At 41.9% G+C, this 18,549-nt stretch overlaps 1 protein-coding gene across 7 annotated transcripts in view, besides 4 other annotated features; it reads left to right on the forward strand.

Moving 5' to 3' along the window:
- Window positions 1-18,549, forward strand: part of PTPRG (protein tyrosine phosphatase receptor type G) — a 736,039-nt gene that overhangs the window by 298,078 nt on the left and 419,412 nt on the right. The gene's annotated exons all lie outside the window — the stretch shown is intronic.
- Window positions 7,056-7,558: an enhancer, noted in NCBI's record as "H3K27ac-H3K4me1 hESC enhancer chr3:61852378-61852880 (GRCh37/hg19 assembly coordinates)". NCBI's record gives its function as "activates a minimal SCP1, AML or CMV promoter by ChIP-STARR-seq in primed H9 embryonic stem cells {active_cell/tissue: H9 hESC(primed)}" and the evidence as "EXISTENCE:reporter gene assay evidence [ECO:0000049][PMID:30033119]".
- Window positions 7,559-8,059: an enhancer, noted in NCBI's record as "H3K27ac-H3K4me1 hESC enhancer chr3:61852881-61853381 (GRCh37/hg19 assembly coordinates)". NCBI's record gives its function as "activates a minimal SCP1, AML or CMV promoter by ChIP-STARR-seq in primed H9 embryonic stem cells {active_cell/tissue: H9 hESC(primed)}" and the evidence as "EXISTENCE:reporter gene assay evidence [ECO:0000049][PMID:30033119]".
- Window positions 12,137-12,921: an enhancer, noted in NCBI's record as "OCT4-NANOG-H3K27ac hESC enhancer chr3:61857459-61858243 (GRCh37/hg19 assembly coordinates)". NCBI's record gives its function as "activates a minimal SCP1, AML or CMV promoter by ChIP-STARR-seq in naive H9 embryonic stem cells {active_cell/tissue: H9 hESC(naive)}" and the evidence as "EXISTENCE:reporter gene assay evidence [ECO:0000049][PMID:30033119]".
- Window positions 15,227-15,933: an enhancer, noted in NCBI's record as "OCT4-NANOG-H3K27ac hESC enhancer chr3:61860549-61861255 (GRCh37/hg19 assembly coordinates)". NCBI's record gives its function as "activates a minimal SCP1, AML or CMV promoter by ChIP-STARR-seq in naive H9 embryonic stem cells {active_cell/tissue: H9 hESC(naive)}" and the evidence as "EXISTENCE:reporter gene assay evidence [ECO:0000049][PMID:30033119]".

Genomic DNA, 18,549 nt, shown 5'->3' on the forward strand with positions numbered 1-18,549 from the left:
TATGAGCAAGGAACTTGAGTTACAGAAAGGCAAGCAAATGACCCCCATATTGAACTGCTGGAGAACTTATGACCTGAACCCAAGTCTTAGGAGAGACTCTTTCAAAATTACCTTTCTGTTGGCCTAATTTTAATTAATAAAATACTGCTGCCCACAACATTTAAACTGTGTGGTAATTATTGTTTCTTTTCTTGTTTTTCTTCCGCATTACAACATAAACTCTCCCATCTGCTGTATATTTATAGCACTTAATATAATCCATGGCACATAGATGCTCAGTAAACCAGTGTTTCATTATTCTTTCATAAGCAACTGCTCTTGTGACATCCTTTATTGTGATCAATAGAATATATCATGTATTAATTATATTTCCTTTATAATTTAGTAAACTCTAGGAAACACTGAGGGATTCCTGTTTGTACACCAATCCATAAAATCACGTGTGATTGCTTAGTCCTGTTACTAAAGATGTTGAGACACAGAAGAGGAAATATTGTATGTACATTTCAGAGTGAAAAGTAATTCCTCAGGGTTGGATATGAAATTGAAACAGTTGATAGTAAGAGTGCTGCACTAAGAAGGGAATCCTTCCCCTAAATTTTAATATGTCCCCTAGTCATGCTATTCCATCTTAATGAGAATTGATTTTGTCCTTTCACCTATCACAGACCCTTACATGCTTCCTTCCCAGCCCGTGAAAGCCATTGTTTGATGAGAAAAAAAATACATGACTTTTCTCCCCAGGCATAGAAGGATAATAGCTGTGCTTTTTTTTGTTTTTGTTCCTTTTTTTTTTTTTTTTTTTTTTTTGAGACGAAGTCTCGCTTTGTTGCCCAGGCTGGAGTGCACTGGCACAATCTTGGCTCACTGCAACCTCTGCCTCCCAGGTTCAAATGATTATACTGCCTCAGCCTCTGGAGTAGATGGGATTACAGGCACGCACCAGCACTCACCGGCTAATTTTTTTGTATTTTTAGTAGAGACAGGGTTTCTGCAGGTTGGCCAGACTGGTCTCGAACTCCTGACCTCAAGTGATCCACCCGCCTCAGCCTCCCAAAGTGCCGGGATTACAGGTGTGAGCCACTGCGCCTAGCCCATTTTTTAAAATTAAAGCTTTTCAGGTAACTGTTGTTTCACATGCAGTTGTATAAAATAATACAGAGAGGTCCCTTTTATACTTTTCCCAGGGTGTGTGTGTATTAAGTTCTACACAATTTTATCACTGGTGTAGATTCATGTATCCGTCACCACAGTCAAGATTCTGAATAAGTCCAGCACCACAGGCAGGGTTGCCACAGCCACCCCCCTTCCCTGTCCCCATCTCTGTCCCCAACCCGGGCAACCACTAATTTATCCTGCATTTCTAAAACTGTCATTTCAAGATGTTGTATAAAAGGAATCATAGAGTAAGTAGCTTTTTAGGATTGGCTTTTTTAATTGTCTGGTTTTCTGGACAATCATCCAAATTGTTGAAGATATCAATCATTGGTTTCTTTTTATTGCCAATTTTTAAAAATATAGAATGTTACTTTAAGAAGATCGTTTAGGAAGCTGAGCCTGTATTATGATAGTTTCAGTCACACAAGGTGTAAAGGGAGGTCGTTTGCTATGATTGTTGTTCTCCAGAGTCTCCAATGAGTAGCTTTTTCTTAGTGGGGAAAAAAAAAATTGGCACAGTCACTGCTTCTCAAAGCTTTTGTCAAGCTGGGGGCCAAAAACAAAATCCCACGAAGGCATTGATCAAAGATATCATTGTAGGAGGAAGTCCTAGAGGGCAGAAAATGCTGTCTTCCTTTTGCTGTCTTGCCACAGTTCCCTGTTATTAGAGTCCTGTCCTTTGTCTTCAAAGCTTTGGAGAAGTGCTTCACATAAAAGACAATGAAGCAGGGGCCACCTAAGAGGCTTGTCTTTGTTGTTGTTTATGCAGAAAGTACTGTTCTCTGCTATTGGCAAAGTAATTTTCAGCTCTAGATGAGCCCAGATCAGTCACAATAGTTTTCACAAGCCTGATAGGAAGGCCTAGAGTGGTGTTAATTAGTCAGAGATGGGAGAAGGAGGACATGTGTTAGCATATTCAATCAATGCAGAGTTTCTTCAACTGGCATGGGGGCATTCCTCAGCAGTCACTGCTACAGTAGGGCACTTAATGCATGCCGATGCCCGTGGGTTTGATTGCACTATTTAAATTTTCTGCCATGCATCCCAATGGTGGCGAAATACTGCTGTTTTAGAGATGCATTATGAGTTGTGAAATTAGATTGAAAGAACCTTATGGGGGCAGAATTAAGATATGACACAAGCAGAGGTGAAAATGGTAAACATTTGTGTGCAAGTTGTATCATCATGTAATAATACAGGGGTCTCCAACTCCACGGATTGGTACCGGTCCCTGGCCTGTTAGGAACTGGGCTGCACAGCTGGAGGTGAGCAGCTATGAGTGAGCTCCGTCTCCTGTCATATCAGTGGTGGCATTAGATTCTGACAGGAGCGCGAACCCTGTTGTGAACTGCTCATGCCAGGGGTCTAGATTCCTTGCTCCTTAAGAGATGCTAATGCCTATTGGAAAAAGTGTCTTCCACAAAACCAGGCTGTGGTGCCCAAAAGGTGGGGGACCGCTGGTATAATACATTTATTGAAACTTTTGGAAGTTGTCATGTAGTGTAGTGGCCTCCTTTGGCCAAGGAACCATAACTAGTATTAAAGATTATTTCTAATGTAGGTATTACTCAGACTTTTTTTTTTTTTTTTTTGAGATGGAATTCCGCTGTTGTTGCCCAGGCTGGAGTGCAATGGCGTGATCTTGGCTCACCACAACCTCCACCTCTGCCTCCTGGGTTCCAGCAATTGTCCTGCCTCAGCCTCCCGAGTAGCTGGGATTACAGGCATGCACCACCACGCCCAGCACGCCCACTAATTTTGTATTTTCAATAGAGACGGGGTTTCTCCATGTTGGTCAGGATGGTCTTGAGCTCCCAACCTCAGGTGATCTGCCCGCCCAGGCCTCACAAAGTGCTGGGATTACAGGTGTAAGCCACCGTGCCCGGCCTGATGTTACTCAGACTTAAAGAGTAGCTGCATACAGTTCCCTTTCACTCTTCTGGACTTTGTTTTCCAGACCTGCTTGTAAAAATCTATTTCAGGGAGTTCTCTCTTGTTTTCTTAGTGTCTGTCTGATGTCAGCCTACTTAGTATATCTGCAAAGACTCAGAGTGGTTTATCGGAAGGTTCCAAGTCCCTCCTACTATGTGACATTGGGCATGACATTTAACTTTGTGGGGTCTTAATTGCCTCAAGTATAAAAGCAAACGAGCAGATTTCAGTAGATGATGCCTAAACTCTCATCTAGGTTTAACAGTCAATAAAATCTATGAGGGCGAACTGTAAGACCTGGCACCTTTTTCTGAAGAGAGATTGATTATGCAGTGCAGTTGTCTTGAATGCACTGCACAAGGATGTGCAGACCCAGGAACTGCTTGTCTAATGAAAGGAACCAGCTGAATGTCTCTCTGGGCTGCCAGTGCTTAGGGCCTGACCCAGACGGGGCTTCCCCCTCTTTGAGCAGTGGATTGTCTTGGACTGAGACAGTGAAATCTCCTTTCTTCACTCCTCTTCTTTAAGGAGGATCAGTGTCATCTGCCTCACCTGTATGCCTTCCTTGGAGATGTTCATGAGAGCATTTAGGTGGTGGGTAGGTATATAGGCATTTGCTCTAAAATTACTTCAACTTTGTTTTATGTTTGAGCATTTTCATAGTATTAGATAGGGAAAAAAAACTAGTGGAAATTGAATTGCTTAAACTTTGGGAGCAAGGCAATTAGAATGTGTGCGTAGCTGCAGATCCCAGTAGCCTAGACTTAATTCCTGGCCTTCTCTCAGATGTCAAGTGTCCACAGGACAGGAATTTGTAATGGGTGAAGGATGCCTTCATTTCCCCTTGCCTTTTCTGCTTATTTGCTATGCAAAGCAATTATTCCAGATTTTCAGTGTGGGCCTCAGGAGCCCCTGTGTTACCTTGGGCAATATGACTCTGAGTTCCTAAGACAGGGCTCTGCTCCCTGCTGCTCCTTGCAAGCCTTGGGTGACTTCAGTGTGTTTTCCAGGTTGTCATAGCATTCTGAACATACCATTTAAGCTGGTCAAAGGTAAGGCCACCTTTGAATGTGCAGTTCAACCTTTTCCCACTTTCCATAGAAAAGAGACAGTTCAGCAGGTTGAGGGAATGACCTAGTATGAACGTCAGTGTTGTTCTATGTATTTAGCAGAACTCTTTTAACAACATCAATTCTGAACAAGTTACCCAAGGTTAAGTTCATGCTGGTTGAGGAGAATAGTGCTGGAGCCAGATAGCTTTGAGGTCCAGCCCTGGATCTTATCCTCTCCTAAGTTAGGGAATTTTACGCAAGTCACTTAACTTGTGAATCCACAGCTCTTCACATTTGTACAATGGGGAGAGTAAAAATACCTTACCTACCTCCTGGGTTATTAGGAGAACACAGTCAAACAATCCCTTCAAAATCCTCTCTTTGAACCTGTCATGGATAATTCTCAATAAATGTCACCTAGGGTAATAAGAATTCTCCCTGCTGTATAAGTAGAACCTTTTGTATCATTTTACCCTTATTTACCCAGGATTTCTATATGTACCCCAGGAGACACAAGTGTCCTAATATCTCACAGAAATGTCAAGACTTTGTCTTGTGGCATTGATCTCTAACGATGCCCATGTATGATAGGTGGATAAGGGGACAGTGCTTCTCCTTGTGTCCCGATCGCTGAGTATGGAGAATCCCGGGCTTCTAATTCTCTCCAACTGCAAGCAAAGTAACGGAACTGAGCATTCAAGGATTTTGGGAGAATTAAGGCAAATCCCAGGGGGATTAGGAAACCAGAGTCATTTGGTTGTCCCTTGATCTTTCTTTAATAAACGATCAAGTTCAGCTTTGCATGGTGAACTGAATTTGTTTCAGCTCTTAATTTTTTACCTTGTAGCTATAATTCTCTGGCTGCTGTTGCTGTCTTTAAATCCGGTTCACCAGCCACCTGGAGCATTCCAATAACACAGGCGTTTTAAGGTTTTCACTTCAACATCTGTGCTTTGGAAATTGAGAAGAGACCACAATTTAGGAATATGCTGAGAAGGAGGCATGGAAGACCAGGGGTTCCATCTCCTCGTAATGTGTGGTATCTGTTCTCTCATTCTTCCCAGATTGCTCCACAATGTTCCTCTCCCCACTTCTATTTAAATGGTCCAGGGGAAGCTCTGTCATGATATTTCAATGTCTCAGGAAGGCCCACCATGCCAGCATGCCACTGTCATGGGGTCACATTCAGTCATTCATTCCCTTGCTCACGTGCTCAGAGACCATTTTATGTTTTGCCTGTTCCTAGGCTGCATGTTCAAGCACTTGGCTGTGTTTGGGTTTCTGGAGACTGGAAGTCATTTTTGCTGATTAATGGGGATGATGGTATTTTTGTCCAGGAGCAAACTGGGGAGTTGCTTTAGGTATGTGGCCAGGAGAGAAATGCCTTGGATATTTGTGGGGTTAATACTGGGCTTATTAGAATGCTGTCAGTCACTCCTTGCTCTCAACTCTAGCCACCCATGCCAAACCCCCACAACAATAGTGACAACAACAGCAGTAATAATAGCAGCTACCAGTTAGAGAGCTACATGTGAGGCCTTGTTTGAGCGTCTCATTTAATTCTCCAAAAATCCCACAAGGAATGTGTTGTTATTTTTTACTTGTTCTAGCTGAGGAAACGGGATATTAGAGTTCTGAGTCCAAAGCATGTGTCTTGTAAATGGTGAAGCTAAGATTTGAACTCAGATAACCTTGACCTAGTACCCAAGTTTGTACCAACTGTGCATCATTCCCTATCACCCTAAGCTAGGGAGTAGGTCGAATTAAGGGTACTACCTTCATATGGATGGCCCGATACCTGGTCATAATGAAATCATTCTTTCTTGGCCTTGGTCTCTCCACCTGCCGACAGGGCAGGTGGCAGCAAGCTGCTTACACCACATGAGCATGACAGAGCCCCTTTGTCTTCTCATTGGCCAAGTTCTTCTTCCTCTCTTCATAAATAACTTCAGATTTCCTAGCCCACTGCTCTAGAAAATGTATTTCCTCTGATGGCCACACAGCCGGAGCAACCCCAGAAGGCCTGTGGTGTTGTGCTGCTCTTTATTTTCTGCCAGCTGCATCTGTACTCTTCTAGAAAATGCTGAGATTCAGCAGTTGCTCAAAAGGCACTGACATCTAATTATCATCCTATAGGCTGTTGCCACAAGTCTGCATAGTGAAGTCAATGCTGAGACAGGCTTCCTTTGCCAGTCAGAGGGGCTCTGGCTTGTTTACAGATAGAATCTTTAACTCCTTTGAAGGGCCAGCGTGAGGATACTGGGAAGGTTCCTGTGGGACAGTTTTATAATTGAACCAGGGAACTCCTCTGTGCCTGCTCATATGTGATATGGATAAGTCATGCAGCACCGGTCCTCCTGCATCCAGGAATGGGCTGACATTGATCTGTTCACTCTTCAGGGATGCTGTCTCAACTACTTGCACAGGTATAATTTTATTATATTACGCTGCATATTAAATACCTGCACTTCCCTTTTCCCATCCTGATACAGATGATTTCATTTTGCCCACAGTAACACATGCTTCTGTTTGCACGTGACCATGATCATTTTCTCTACCTCTAGGCTTACAGAAGGGCCAGAGGTGGTGCTAATCAGGAACTGGAAACTTCTGACCCCACTGTGCAGGCTGGAGTAGGGTTGAGGCTGTGGCTGAGAACCAGAAGGAGAAAGCAAGGGCAAGTCCCCATTCTAGAATACCTGGCTAGGATGTGGGGGAGAGAGGTGAGCATAGCTCCTTTCTGTAAAAATTACACTTACACAGAGCTTCCCTGGCTTTGGAACTGTTTGCTCTTTTTTTTTTTTTTTTTTTTTTTTTTTTTTTTTTTTGAGACGGAGTCTTGGTCTGTCACCAGGCTGGAGTGCAGTGGTACGGTATCAGCTCACTGCAACTTTGCCTCCCTAGTTCAAGCGATTCTCCTGCCTCCGCCTCTGGAGTAGCTGGGACTACAGGCATGTGCCACCACGCCCAGCTAATTTTTGTATTTTTAGTAGAGATGGCATTTCACCATGTTGGCCAGGATGGTCTCGATCTCTTGAACTCGTGATCCATCCGCCTTGGCCTGCCAAAGTGCTGGGATTACAGGCATGTGACACCGCACCCGGCCAAAGTGGTTGCTTTTATTCTAACAACGTCTGTGTTTGCAACGGAAGAGAGACCACAGGAGTGCTAGAGCCTGAGTTCAGGGAAGGGTTTGACAGGAGTTTCAAGGCTTCTTGTTGGCGGGGTAGAACATCATCCTTCCAGCCAGGAGTAGCTCTTCATCAGATTGCCCGGGATTGGAAAGGGATCAGTACCAGATGGCCTCCTGGCCCCAGAAGTTCCTTCTGGAGCAGAACAGAGTTTTCTTGTCGCTATGATTCAGCAACAGCAGGCATTGATGGCGGCCCCACTGGGTGCCTGGCATGGCATCATACCCCCTGCCTCCCAGAACCTGCGGCCCTCCTCCATGGCCAAGGAGCAATTGCATGTGGAGCCATACCAGCAGCCCCCATTGAGCTGACTTGGTTGCCTGAAGTGAGAATGGTTAAATGGGTAATTGATGGAAGCAAAAAGCCAAGGGAAGGAGGTACCCGCTGGGTAACTGGTTAGTGTAAGAGGCTATGTGTGTGTAGCTGAAGTTGATCACCATTCCAAGGCGAGTCTTTTCCCCTCTCTTCTTTCCCTCCTTTTTATTTAACAATAATAATAACTTTATTGATTCATTGCTTTTTTTGAGGCATGCATTAAGCCCTTCACATTTATTAACTTGAAAAAATAGGGGAGTTGAGGGCCCAGAAAGGTAAAATGAAGTACCCAAAGTCACACATTTTAGTGAGTGGCAAAAATGGGATCTCAGGGCATGGTTCCTATCTCTTGACAATCTAAGCTCTTCACCCTGTACCTCTTTTCCATCTCTGCAGCCCTCTCTCCCTCTCTTCTTTATAGATACTCTGAGCGTTTATCTTGCATCCAGTTAGCAATGCAGTTTCAGAGATAGAGGACATAGGACGTCCCTTACGGAACTCAAAATTGAGTTTGCAGAGACAACCTTAACCTTTGTAAGGTGAGGGAAGCCTAGAGTCTCATGTGGTGTGTGGGGCCCAGGGATGCGTTTGTAAAGCTTGGGTGCAGTGGTCTTTCTTCCACAGGGAGTCTGAGACCTTGGTCTGCTTACCTTTCTCTAGGGCACCCAGGGCATGAGAAGGTGGTGGTGTTCCTTATAACCTTGGCCATCCAGTAGATAAAGTTCAACAAGTAGGATTGGTTCAGTCTGATACCTGTAGTCCCCTATTTTACATAAGCCCCTCCCCACATTCTCCCTTAAACACATGAAGAAGTGCAGAGGAGAAGGGAGAGGGCATGTCTTGAGACCCAGTTATGTGAAGGCTGTGGATTGAGAGTTTACAGTGTTAGTGATCTCTTGTCATCCTCACAACAGCTCTATGCAGTGGACCCTGTTAGATCTTATATCACGGAAGAAAAGCTCCAAGATCAGAGTTTCAGGTATCTTTTCTGTTTCATCTCTGCTTACAATCTTCTCACAATTTCTTGCCTCTCTCAGATTTGATTCCGAAATCCCTGAGTGCTAGAAGAAAGGCATCATATCATCTTGTCCCTGGTTATCTCATTGAGTTCATTTTCCTGCCCTCTGCCCCCTGCCCCCAGCTCCCTGGCCTCTCTGCTGCCTGATGCACTGCGTCCAACCTGCCTTGAGCCTGGGCATTCAACACTCTGCCTTCTTTCCCTCTGCCTTTCCTTGTTCACTTTCCCCCTTCCAATCTCTTTTCTTCCTCCTTTTAAATTTTCCTTGTGTGAGTTTGATTTTAAAGGTTTTGTTGGGCAAAGTGAACACACTTGGCTTATAGAATCACCCTTAGGGTAATTTGTTACAGAAAATTCTGTGTAATGGGACAGTTTTTTTGTTTGAGTCAGCACAAATAAAGCAAACTCTCCAGGGTTGTGGTCAAATGCTGTTTCTTACAGTTCTCAAGGTTTCTAAGTCCAGGCTCTCTAGTTCTCATGTTATTTGGAACTCCTTTGGGCATTGGTCTTTGTATCTAAAATGGTCTCATGTTTAATTCAATGTGCGCATTTATAACAAGGTCTGATTTGATGACTTGTTCAGAAGGGTGTTTTTTTTTTTTGAAGATTTTGGTAGAATTGTATGATTTTCTGGTCTTTGGACTAGTCACTTCTAATAACTTTTTTTTGGTGAGTGAGTCTGGTCTTCTCCATAGTTTCCACGCTTCATAAAGCATTAGGAGGACGGCATTTCACTTGCCGTTCCCCATGGTCTAATCTCCTGCTGATTTTATTTTAACTCTGAGGGATTTGCTATTGGTCCAGCTTTACCATCAGTTGCATCTCCATCAATGAGGCTGACCTGGAGGGACTGGATTCAAATAGGGAGCAGCATCCAGTTCCCTCTACCTAGAGATTGCCAACTTCTCTGAAGCATTTCCATGAAATTTATAATTTAATTTCTATTTTGGCTCAAGAGCATCTTGGTACAAATCCTTGGGTGTGGCCCTCTTTTGTAAGAAGTACAGAATGAAAGACCATCTTGCCTGCAAACTGTGTGCAGATCTTTGTGAGAAATAAAGTCATGTTTCATTATTTTGGCTGCATGACTTAAAAAATGTCATGACCCAGAATGAATATTGCTTTTCAGTCAGGTGGTTGCACGTTTCAAGATGGCTCCAGTGGCTTCTGAAATGTGTTTACCCTGCGAACATTCCAAAGTTGTCTGTGCTTTGTCCAGAATCCCTGGATGCCATTCATTAACCCTCCCCTCCCCTCCCCTCCCCTCCCTTCACCTCTTTGTCTGACAGAGTCTTACTCTGTCACCCAGGCGGGAGTGCAGTGGTGCATTCATGGCTTACTGCAGCCTCAACCTCCTGGGCTTAACTGATCTTCCCCCCTCAGCCTCCCGAGTATCTGGGACCGTAGGTGCACGCCACCCTGCCTGGCTAATTTTTTGTTTTGTTTTGTTTTGTTTTGTTTTGTTTTGCAGAGATGAGGTTTTCCCATGTTTCCCAGGCTGGTCTCAACCTTCTGGGCTTAAGCGATCCACCCGCCTAAGTCTCCCAAACTGTTGGGATCACAAGTGTGAGCCACTGCACCTGGTCCTGGGTGCCATTCTTGACTACGTCACCTAAATGCTCCTTCTTGTGATTCGACTCTCATCCTATATACCTAGTGCCACCATGACCCCATCACCCTACGTCCCCTCCCCCTTCGACTTGTCCTCATCACTGCATATTGAGCTTTCACTTGGCAAAGTCTTCACCTCCCAGTACCATCACCTTGGGGCTTAAGTTTCAAGATATGAATTGTGGGAGGACACAAACATTTAGTCTATAGTGGTATGAAATGCCCAGCATTATTGTTTCTGTGACCTTAGGACAAAAGGGTACATAGATGCTATTGCATAAAATATTATGTTTCCTAGCTTTTCTGTTGGGGAACTATATAAAAATAAGTTTTGGTACATAACATACTTTCCTGATGCTAATATTTCCATTGTCAACTAGGAAAAATTATTCTTTTTTTTTTTTTTTGGAGACGGAGTCTCACTCTGTTGCCCAGGAGTGCAATGGTATGATCTCAGCTCCAGTGCAGCCTCCACCTCCTGGGTTCAAGCAATTCTCCTGCCTCAGCCTCCCGAGTAGCTGGGACTACAGGCATGAACTACCACACCTAGCTTTTTTTTTTTTTTTTTTTTTTTTTTGTATTTTTAGTAGAGATGGATTTTTTTTTTTTTTTTGTATTTTTAGTAGAGATGGATTTTTTTTTTTTTTTTTTAACCATGTTGGCCAGGCTGGCCTCGAACTCCTGAGCTCAGGTGATCCACCCACCTCAGCCTCCCAAAGTGCTGGGATTACAGGCATGAGCCATCGCACCCATTGTTGGGTAGGAAAAGTAATGATTACCTCCCAGTTTTGAGCATCAATTGGTAACAAAATCTGTGTAAGTGTTGTCTGTATAAATGGTAAAGTTCTATTGAAATGTTGAATAAAATAGAGGCATTCATAGTAATAATAACTGCGTCATACTAGGCTTCTTTCTATGAAATAAATTAGGTCATTTACTAAAAGCTCAATTAATGAATATTACTAAGAAATTTTCAGAAATCACTGCTTAGAAATCAGCAACGGGGTAGAGTGAGTTACTTACAGATGAATATTCGAATCAGGGGTTTCAGGAAAAACTGATGAGAATTGTTTGTTTAGACTGTCAGTCTCTCTGTGCCTCAGTTTCTTTTTTCTAGAATGAAGGGGCAATCACCAGAGTGTCTTGAAGGTCCCATTCAGTATTCCATTTTCCCTACATTCCCTGTTATGTTATGTTATGTTATGTTGTGTTGTGTTGTGTTGTGTTGTGTTGTGTTGTGTTATGTTATGTTATGTTATGTTATGTTATGTTATGTTATGTTATGTTATGTTATGTTATGTTATGTTAATGTTATATTTTAAGACAGGGTCTTGGTCTGTCACCCAGGCTGGAGTGCAGTGGCACAGTCACAACTCACTGCAGCCTCAACCTCCTGGGCTCAGGTGTTCATTCTGCCTCAGCCTCCCAAGTAGATGGGACCAAGGCACATGTCACCACATCTAGCTAATTAAAAAAAATTTTTTTTTGGAGAGATGGGGTCTTACTGGTCTCAAGCAATCCTCCCACCTTGGCTTCTCAACATGCTGGGATTATAGGCATGAGCTACCACACCCGGCCCCTTTTACTGTTTAAAAGCATAAAACTGCTGACTCTCCCTGAGTGTTTGATTCTAATAGGAAAAAGTTCATCCTCTGGGCCCTGTTGGATCATGGTTGATGTAGTATGACAAAATCTGTAGTAGCTTCCATGAAAAGAGGAAAGTTTTGTTGATGTGAAGATTTGTTTCTCTTTAGTTTTATATTTTAGAACTCATCTTGGGTTCCACTTCCCTTTGATTTGGGGGTTGTAGCTTTGGTAGTCAGGGAAGCAGGACCTGGAAATCACAAGGCCTTTTGGAATTGCAGCTCCCAGGCAACACGGCCTGCTTGCCTTCCCTTTTGAAGGAGATCAGTTGCTCCCTCTCTCTTTCTTAGTGTTTCTCAGCAAGACTATTTAACATTTAAGGCCGTAGGCATTAAGAATCCAGGGATCTGTGTTTTAGAGCTGAATGTCCTTCTCCAAGCCAAGCTCAGAGCCAAAGCTCTCAACAGCTGAAATACCTGCTTGCTCTATTCTTTTTAACCAGTGCAGCAGTGCTTCCTTCTAGGATAACAGAGCTCTTCTCATATATTCCATTGACTGTTGAAATCTCAGTAAGGGAAACACTTTTCAAAATGTCTTGTTATGGAAAGGATTGGGCCAAATAAATATATTTCCTGTTGAAAGTAACGTGTACTTTCACTGAAGGATAGCTTCTCTACTACAGCTACTGTTTGAAAGACAATAAGAATGTTGATTCTGGCCAGGTGCAGCGTTGGGCACCTGGAGTTCTGGCAACTCAGGAGGCTGAGGCAGGGGATCACTTGAGTGTGCTGTGATTACACCTGTGAATAGTCACTTCACTCCAGTCTGGGCAACATAGTGAGAACCAGCCTCTTCAAAAATGAAAAGGAGAAAGAACGTTGGTTCTGGAGTCAGAATGAATTGGTTCTAGTGTTTGGCTCTTAGGCTCAGTAACTTGTGATCTTGGACAAGTTACTTATTTTGTCTGGCCGAACTCCAAATTCCCCATCTGTAAAGTGGGAATCATAACTCTGAGAATGGCTTGCCGATGCAATAAGATGAGATAGGTAGTGCTTGTGTTGCCTGACCCTGAGTAAGTGCTCACTCAATATTAATCACAATTTTTTTTTTCATGACCATTTGTACAGTGTATTGTCATGTATATGGAAAGGGTTTCAGTTCTGTTTTAGGGATTTCTCTTAGAAATCTCCAGCAATTTCACTTAGGGAGCTTTTGAAGCCATCTGCCTTAGTGAGCTGTGCTAGTGTGCTCTTTTTGAAAGGTAAGCAATCTTTGGGCCAGTTTGGATATGACTCTTTTACATGTCCAGTCCATATATTCCCAGAAGAATCCAGAAGTCATGGCCATCAAAGTAAAATACCCAGCCTTTTAAAACCACTACATTTGGATAGGAAGATGCTCTCCTTGAAATTACCTTTTACCTTTGAGATCCATCTAGAAAAAAATCTAAAGAGTTGATTGTGGGTCAGGCCCATCAGAGTGTAAGAATGAATTCGAGCTGTAAAAAATGTGATTCTTTTTCTTTTTTTTTGAAGAGCCATTGGGCAGGAGTAAATTGGTAGAACCATTTTGGGGAGCTGTATATATTCAGTAAAGTTGAAGATTTCTATGCTGTTAGGATCAGGTAATTTCATTTGTAATTTAGAGAAATTTTGATACATGTAACCTGGGTGACATGTACAAGAATATTTGTAACAGCAGTTTGTAAGCGGAAAACTGGCTACAGCCTCAATGACATTCACCAGGCAGTAGGTGAATTTGATGTTGTTTATTCATACCTTGGGAGACCATGCAACTGCTAAAATGAATGAATAGGACCAGCAGATCAGTGTGGATACATTTTTAGCTTTACTCATAAGATGTCATATCTTAAAACATCTGATACAGAAATAGAAAAATATGAAATCATATTTTAAATATAGTAGCAAAAAAATATAGACATAGCAAAATACGGAATCTTATTTTAACTATAGTAGTGACTGTATGGCTGTTGATTCTGTTGTTTCTGGGCATTTGCAGCATTTCTTACTTTTAGATAGCTGTCGGAAAAGAAAAATACTATAGGATGGGTTATGGGTTGCCTTTGGCATTTATTTTTAATGTTATACAATATTGTATTTTTGAGGAAAATAAATTGGTAATGTGTGGAATTGGGTAACTGGGGGGAGGGGTAGTTTTTGTCCACTGTATTCTCTGCTTATTTTTTATTTACTTTTTACCATTGGCTCTCTGGTATAAGAAAAACTGAATGATGATTAAGTTCAGTTGACGCAGTATAAATGATTAGCTAAGTGATCAGGGCTCTGAGGCTGCCTTTCTGGGTTTATGTCCCAGCTCTCATTCTTACTGGCTGTGAGATAGGAGGCAAGAGACTCAACCTCCTCCTGCCCTGTTGCTTCCCCTTTAAAATTGTTCAGTAGAGCAGTGAGGATTGAATTGGATTATTCCTGTTGATTCAAGTACTGGACAGTGTTTGACACAGAATAAATGTTAGCTGTTTTTGTATTATTATAGTTTGATATGGAAGAAGGAACTGTAAAATGCAGTTAATTATGGGATCCTGGTAAAAGACACTCAAATCAGACTCTCAGGGGCACAAGAATCCAGAGTGCATCCCATTGAGCCTGCACCATTTCCTCGATCCTCACCTTATCTTTCCAGGTTGAGCCCTCCCCAGACAGTATAATCAGCATGCACTACCCCTGTTTTCTTTCTCTTTTGTACCTTGAGACTTTAGGGTGGCCTAAAAGCATTTGCTGGATCCCCTCAACCTCCTTTGGGAGGCTCATGCTCTCATGGTTGACCACGTCTTACCAAATATGTTTATCCTCACAATTTATCTAGCCAATGCAAATGTCTTTTCAGTGGAGATGATAAATTGGGTATTTAAAGGCACCAGGATAATTTCAAATTTGTGACTTCCACTGGAATGGGGTACATTTTAAAGCAGAGAGGTAAATGTCTTTCTTTTCACTTAAATACCCACCATTCCTTTTTCTTTCTTCCTTTTTTTTTTCTACACATAAACACAGATACTCAACCACTTTAAATTCGTAGAAATTGATCTAGGACAGAGGTGGTTGATTCCCAGCCAGGAATGGGTCTCCTTCTCCCTGGAAATATTTGGCAATGTTTGAAGGCAATTTTGATTGTTAGGCTTTGGGACAGGGGGAGTGTGCTGTTAACATTTAGTGGGAGGAGTCCAGGGACGCCATAAACATAAAGCACAGGACAGTCCTCCACAACAAAGAATGATCTAGCCCAAAATATTAACAGAGCTGAGGATGAGACGCCCTGCCCTAATTTAATGAGAGAGATGTAAGTCCATACCCGTAACTGAATTCCCAGACTTCTTCACCATGGCATTGCTCCAGCGTTGAGTAAATCTGGCATCACAAAATTTGTCTTATGTAGAGCTGGAGACAAAGCAGGGAAGAAGAGAAGCAAACCTGTTAAGTCCCACGTAGTCTACAACTCCATCAGGTATATGGGATGAGCAGGAACAGAAAGCTGTTTTCTTTAGAAATTCTCACTCTTCTCTTTCCTCTGCCGCGAGCTCTTATCTAAAGAAGGGAGATTCAGAGTGGATAAAGATCTCAGGAAATCTTTTGCTCTAGCTTTTGATCCCTCTTCTCAGTTTCTTCTCTTTTCAGTGTGTAGAAGTCATATGTCAAAGCACAGACCTGTTTAGAATATCAAGAGTGTTAATAGAGGCTTCAGCCTTCTTTTAGGCCACATTCTGGTTCTGCAACTGACACTTGAGGAGGTATTTCCTGTTGATACCATTCAAGGAGCTGTTTCAGGAGGGCCCTGGTGCTGCCTGGGGATGGTGTTCTAAGTACTTGATTCCATCTGCAAGGCAAAACGTTTTGAGAGAGAGAGGATTCTCTTTTAAAGGAATCATAATGTTTTTAATGTTAATTATACAGGCTACTCGATTAATCAGTTAAGTGCCATCCTTATACAGAAGGGAAACTGGGAAGTGTTTCAAAATGAAGAGTACCTAGCGGCTTGAAAGAGATGTTTGCTCTATATTTATATTTTGGGACTTGGGTAACTGACGATTCAGACATCTATCAGATGGAGGGCTGTCTGCTTGGAGTCATGCCTCAGCTATACACACACATGCACATGCGCACACACACACGGCACACACACACACAGCACACACTTTATAGGCCGTCTTCATGCCTTTGCCGAGGTCTTTCTGTTCCTTTTAAGAGTGCCATCATTTCTCGCAGAGATGTAACTGGAGAACAAAGCTTGCAGAGGCAGTTGGATATATATTCTTTTTACTCCCACCTTCTGCCTGGAATGAAGATGAGGTATAGGCTGCACTCCGTTTCATTTTTGACCCACTTTGATAAGAATCCAAGGTGAGGGACCCAACTGGGCCTCACTGGTTTCCCACTGGGGAAACCTTATAACTGAAATCTAGTCTCTACTTTTGAAAATCTTAGTCATGATTGACTAAAGGCAGTCTTTCTTTAAATAAATAAATAAATAAAAGCACATTACAAATAAAGCCTTCAAGATTTGAGCATTTGGTAGCCCAATATCAGTCAGTGAAAGAAGTGTTTACAATTAAAAGTAGTAATTAGAAGGGACATGACATGATTTCTGTAGTATTCTTGACAAAAATGCATAACTGTACTCCAGTCCTGGGATGACATCATACACCTTCAGATTGAGGGATATTCTACAGTAAGTGATCTGTACTCCTTTGTCAAGATCATGAGAGACAGGAGACTGAAGAACTTTTTATAGATTGGGGAGGGCTAAGGAGAAATAACAGCTAAATGTAATGTGGGATCCTGGATAAGATGCTGGAATTGAAAAAGGACATTAAGGGAAAATCTAGTACAATTCAAATAAGATTTTTCATTCAGTTGATGAGTTAATTCTGTCACGCTCGTGTCAATTTCCTGGTTTTGATCATTGTACTGTGGCTGTGGGCCACAGTCAACATTTGGGGAAGCTGGGTCAGGGATATATTCTTTGTACTGTTTTAGCAGCAACTTCTCTATAAATCTAAACTTCTCTCAATACAAACTTATTTTTTTAAAAAGTAATAATTAGTATGCATAACAAAACTAGGTTAAACAATTTCTTTTCCGGGCTGGGCGTGGTGGCTCACATCTGTAATCCCAGCACTTTGGGAGGCCGAGGCGGGCGGATCCCCTGAAGTCGGGAGTTTGAGACCAGCCTGGCCAACATGGTGAAACCCTGTCTCTAATACAAAAAGGTATAAGCCCTTCTATTAATATAACTAGCTTCCTCCTCCTTCCCCACTACCACTTAATAGTAATTCATGTTTTTTTCCCAATATATATACTTCTGCCTAATATCATTTATCTGCCTAAAATATTACATTTTTAGAATTTGTCATAATGTATTTACTTAACTTAAGTAGTCTGTAACAGAGTGAGGTCATAAAGTGTTGAACATTCTCGTTCTTGTGGTTCTCCCTTTATTCCTTTTTTTTTTGACATTAAGAAATACCGCCTGTAATTCAGGCTTACATTTTTGTGTCAGGAGGATTTGAGGTCTTTGCCTTGTGCAATCTTTGCATTCCTTTTTAATTCTTTTGTTTCTAAAGTGTAGCACTCCAGACATTAAATATCTGGGTCTAAATATAAGAATATTTTGCATTTTAATTTGCAGGGAAGAAAAATTATATTTTAAAGTCCACAGTTTCTGGCTTTTATTTACATATTTTGGACTACTTTGGTTATGCAGGGAGCACAGAAACATGCCTTAGCATTTGGATATTTATTATTTTCTAAGTATTAAGAACGTGGATGTTCTGCAGCATTGGAGAGATGTTTGAGAATGCTGGCCTGGCCTGGCCCTCAGAAGTTAATTTAGGGTTTTTAACTCTGGTGCAAATGCTTAGGTTACCGGCAGGGGGTTAATAAGTAAACCACAGAGAAGCCACAAAGGTGCCTACATGTGGTTGTTGTGTAGTTTATCATTAGACCAGAAAGCGGGGGAAACAGCTGACCAACCAATTCACAGAAATTTATCATAATTGAGTGGTTAATGCAAGCATACTAAACAGATTAAATCTCAATAGTTTTTGTGTATACCCTGGTAGAAAAAGTAGTAACTGCTTACTTGCACATCGGAAACATGCTCATGGGATGTTAACGTGTTTGCATGCAGAAGCTTATGATGCAATGAGACTGAAATAATGAAAATGATGACAGTAAAAAGGAGAAAATGTAAAATGCATGCTAGTTGGTAAAAGAAAAAAGTCTTCTCTTTGCTTCCAAGGTATTTAAACTCTGAACAAACTGTGTGTGTTGTGGAATATATTGGGTTAGCGACCTTTCAGAATTAGGAAGAAGAAGTTGTATTTTTGAATATAGAAGGCCAGCATAATTACTCAGAGTACAGTAAATGTCCCTATCATTCTTTGAGTTTAATCTTAACATAATTAGCTCCTCGCACAATAGAGTGTTTAATTTGAAATGCTGCCAAGGCTCATTAAGTGAGAGAAGTACTTCCTGAGATCTCTGTTGTTAAATTTGGGATTTTTTGTATGAGATAATTTTCTCAAGAAGTGTTAGGGTATCAGAATTGTTGTTCATATTCTGACATTTATCACCCAAACTCACTGAAACACTTAACATTTTCTGTTTTATTGATGGAGCCTTTTATTAATATTGGGGAATTTGCTATGTCA

This window comes from Homo sapiens, chromosome 3 (assembly GCF_000001405.40).
Source record: "Homo sapiens chromosome 3, GRCh38.p14 Primary Assembly".
NCBI lineage: Eukaryota > Metazoa > Chordata > Mammalia > Primates > Hominidae > Homo > Homo sapiens.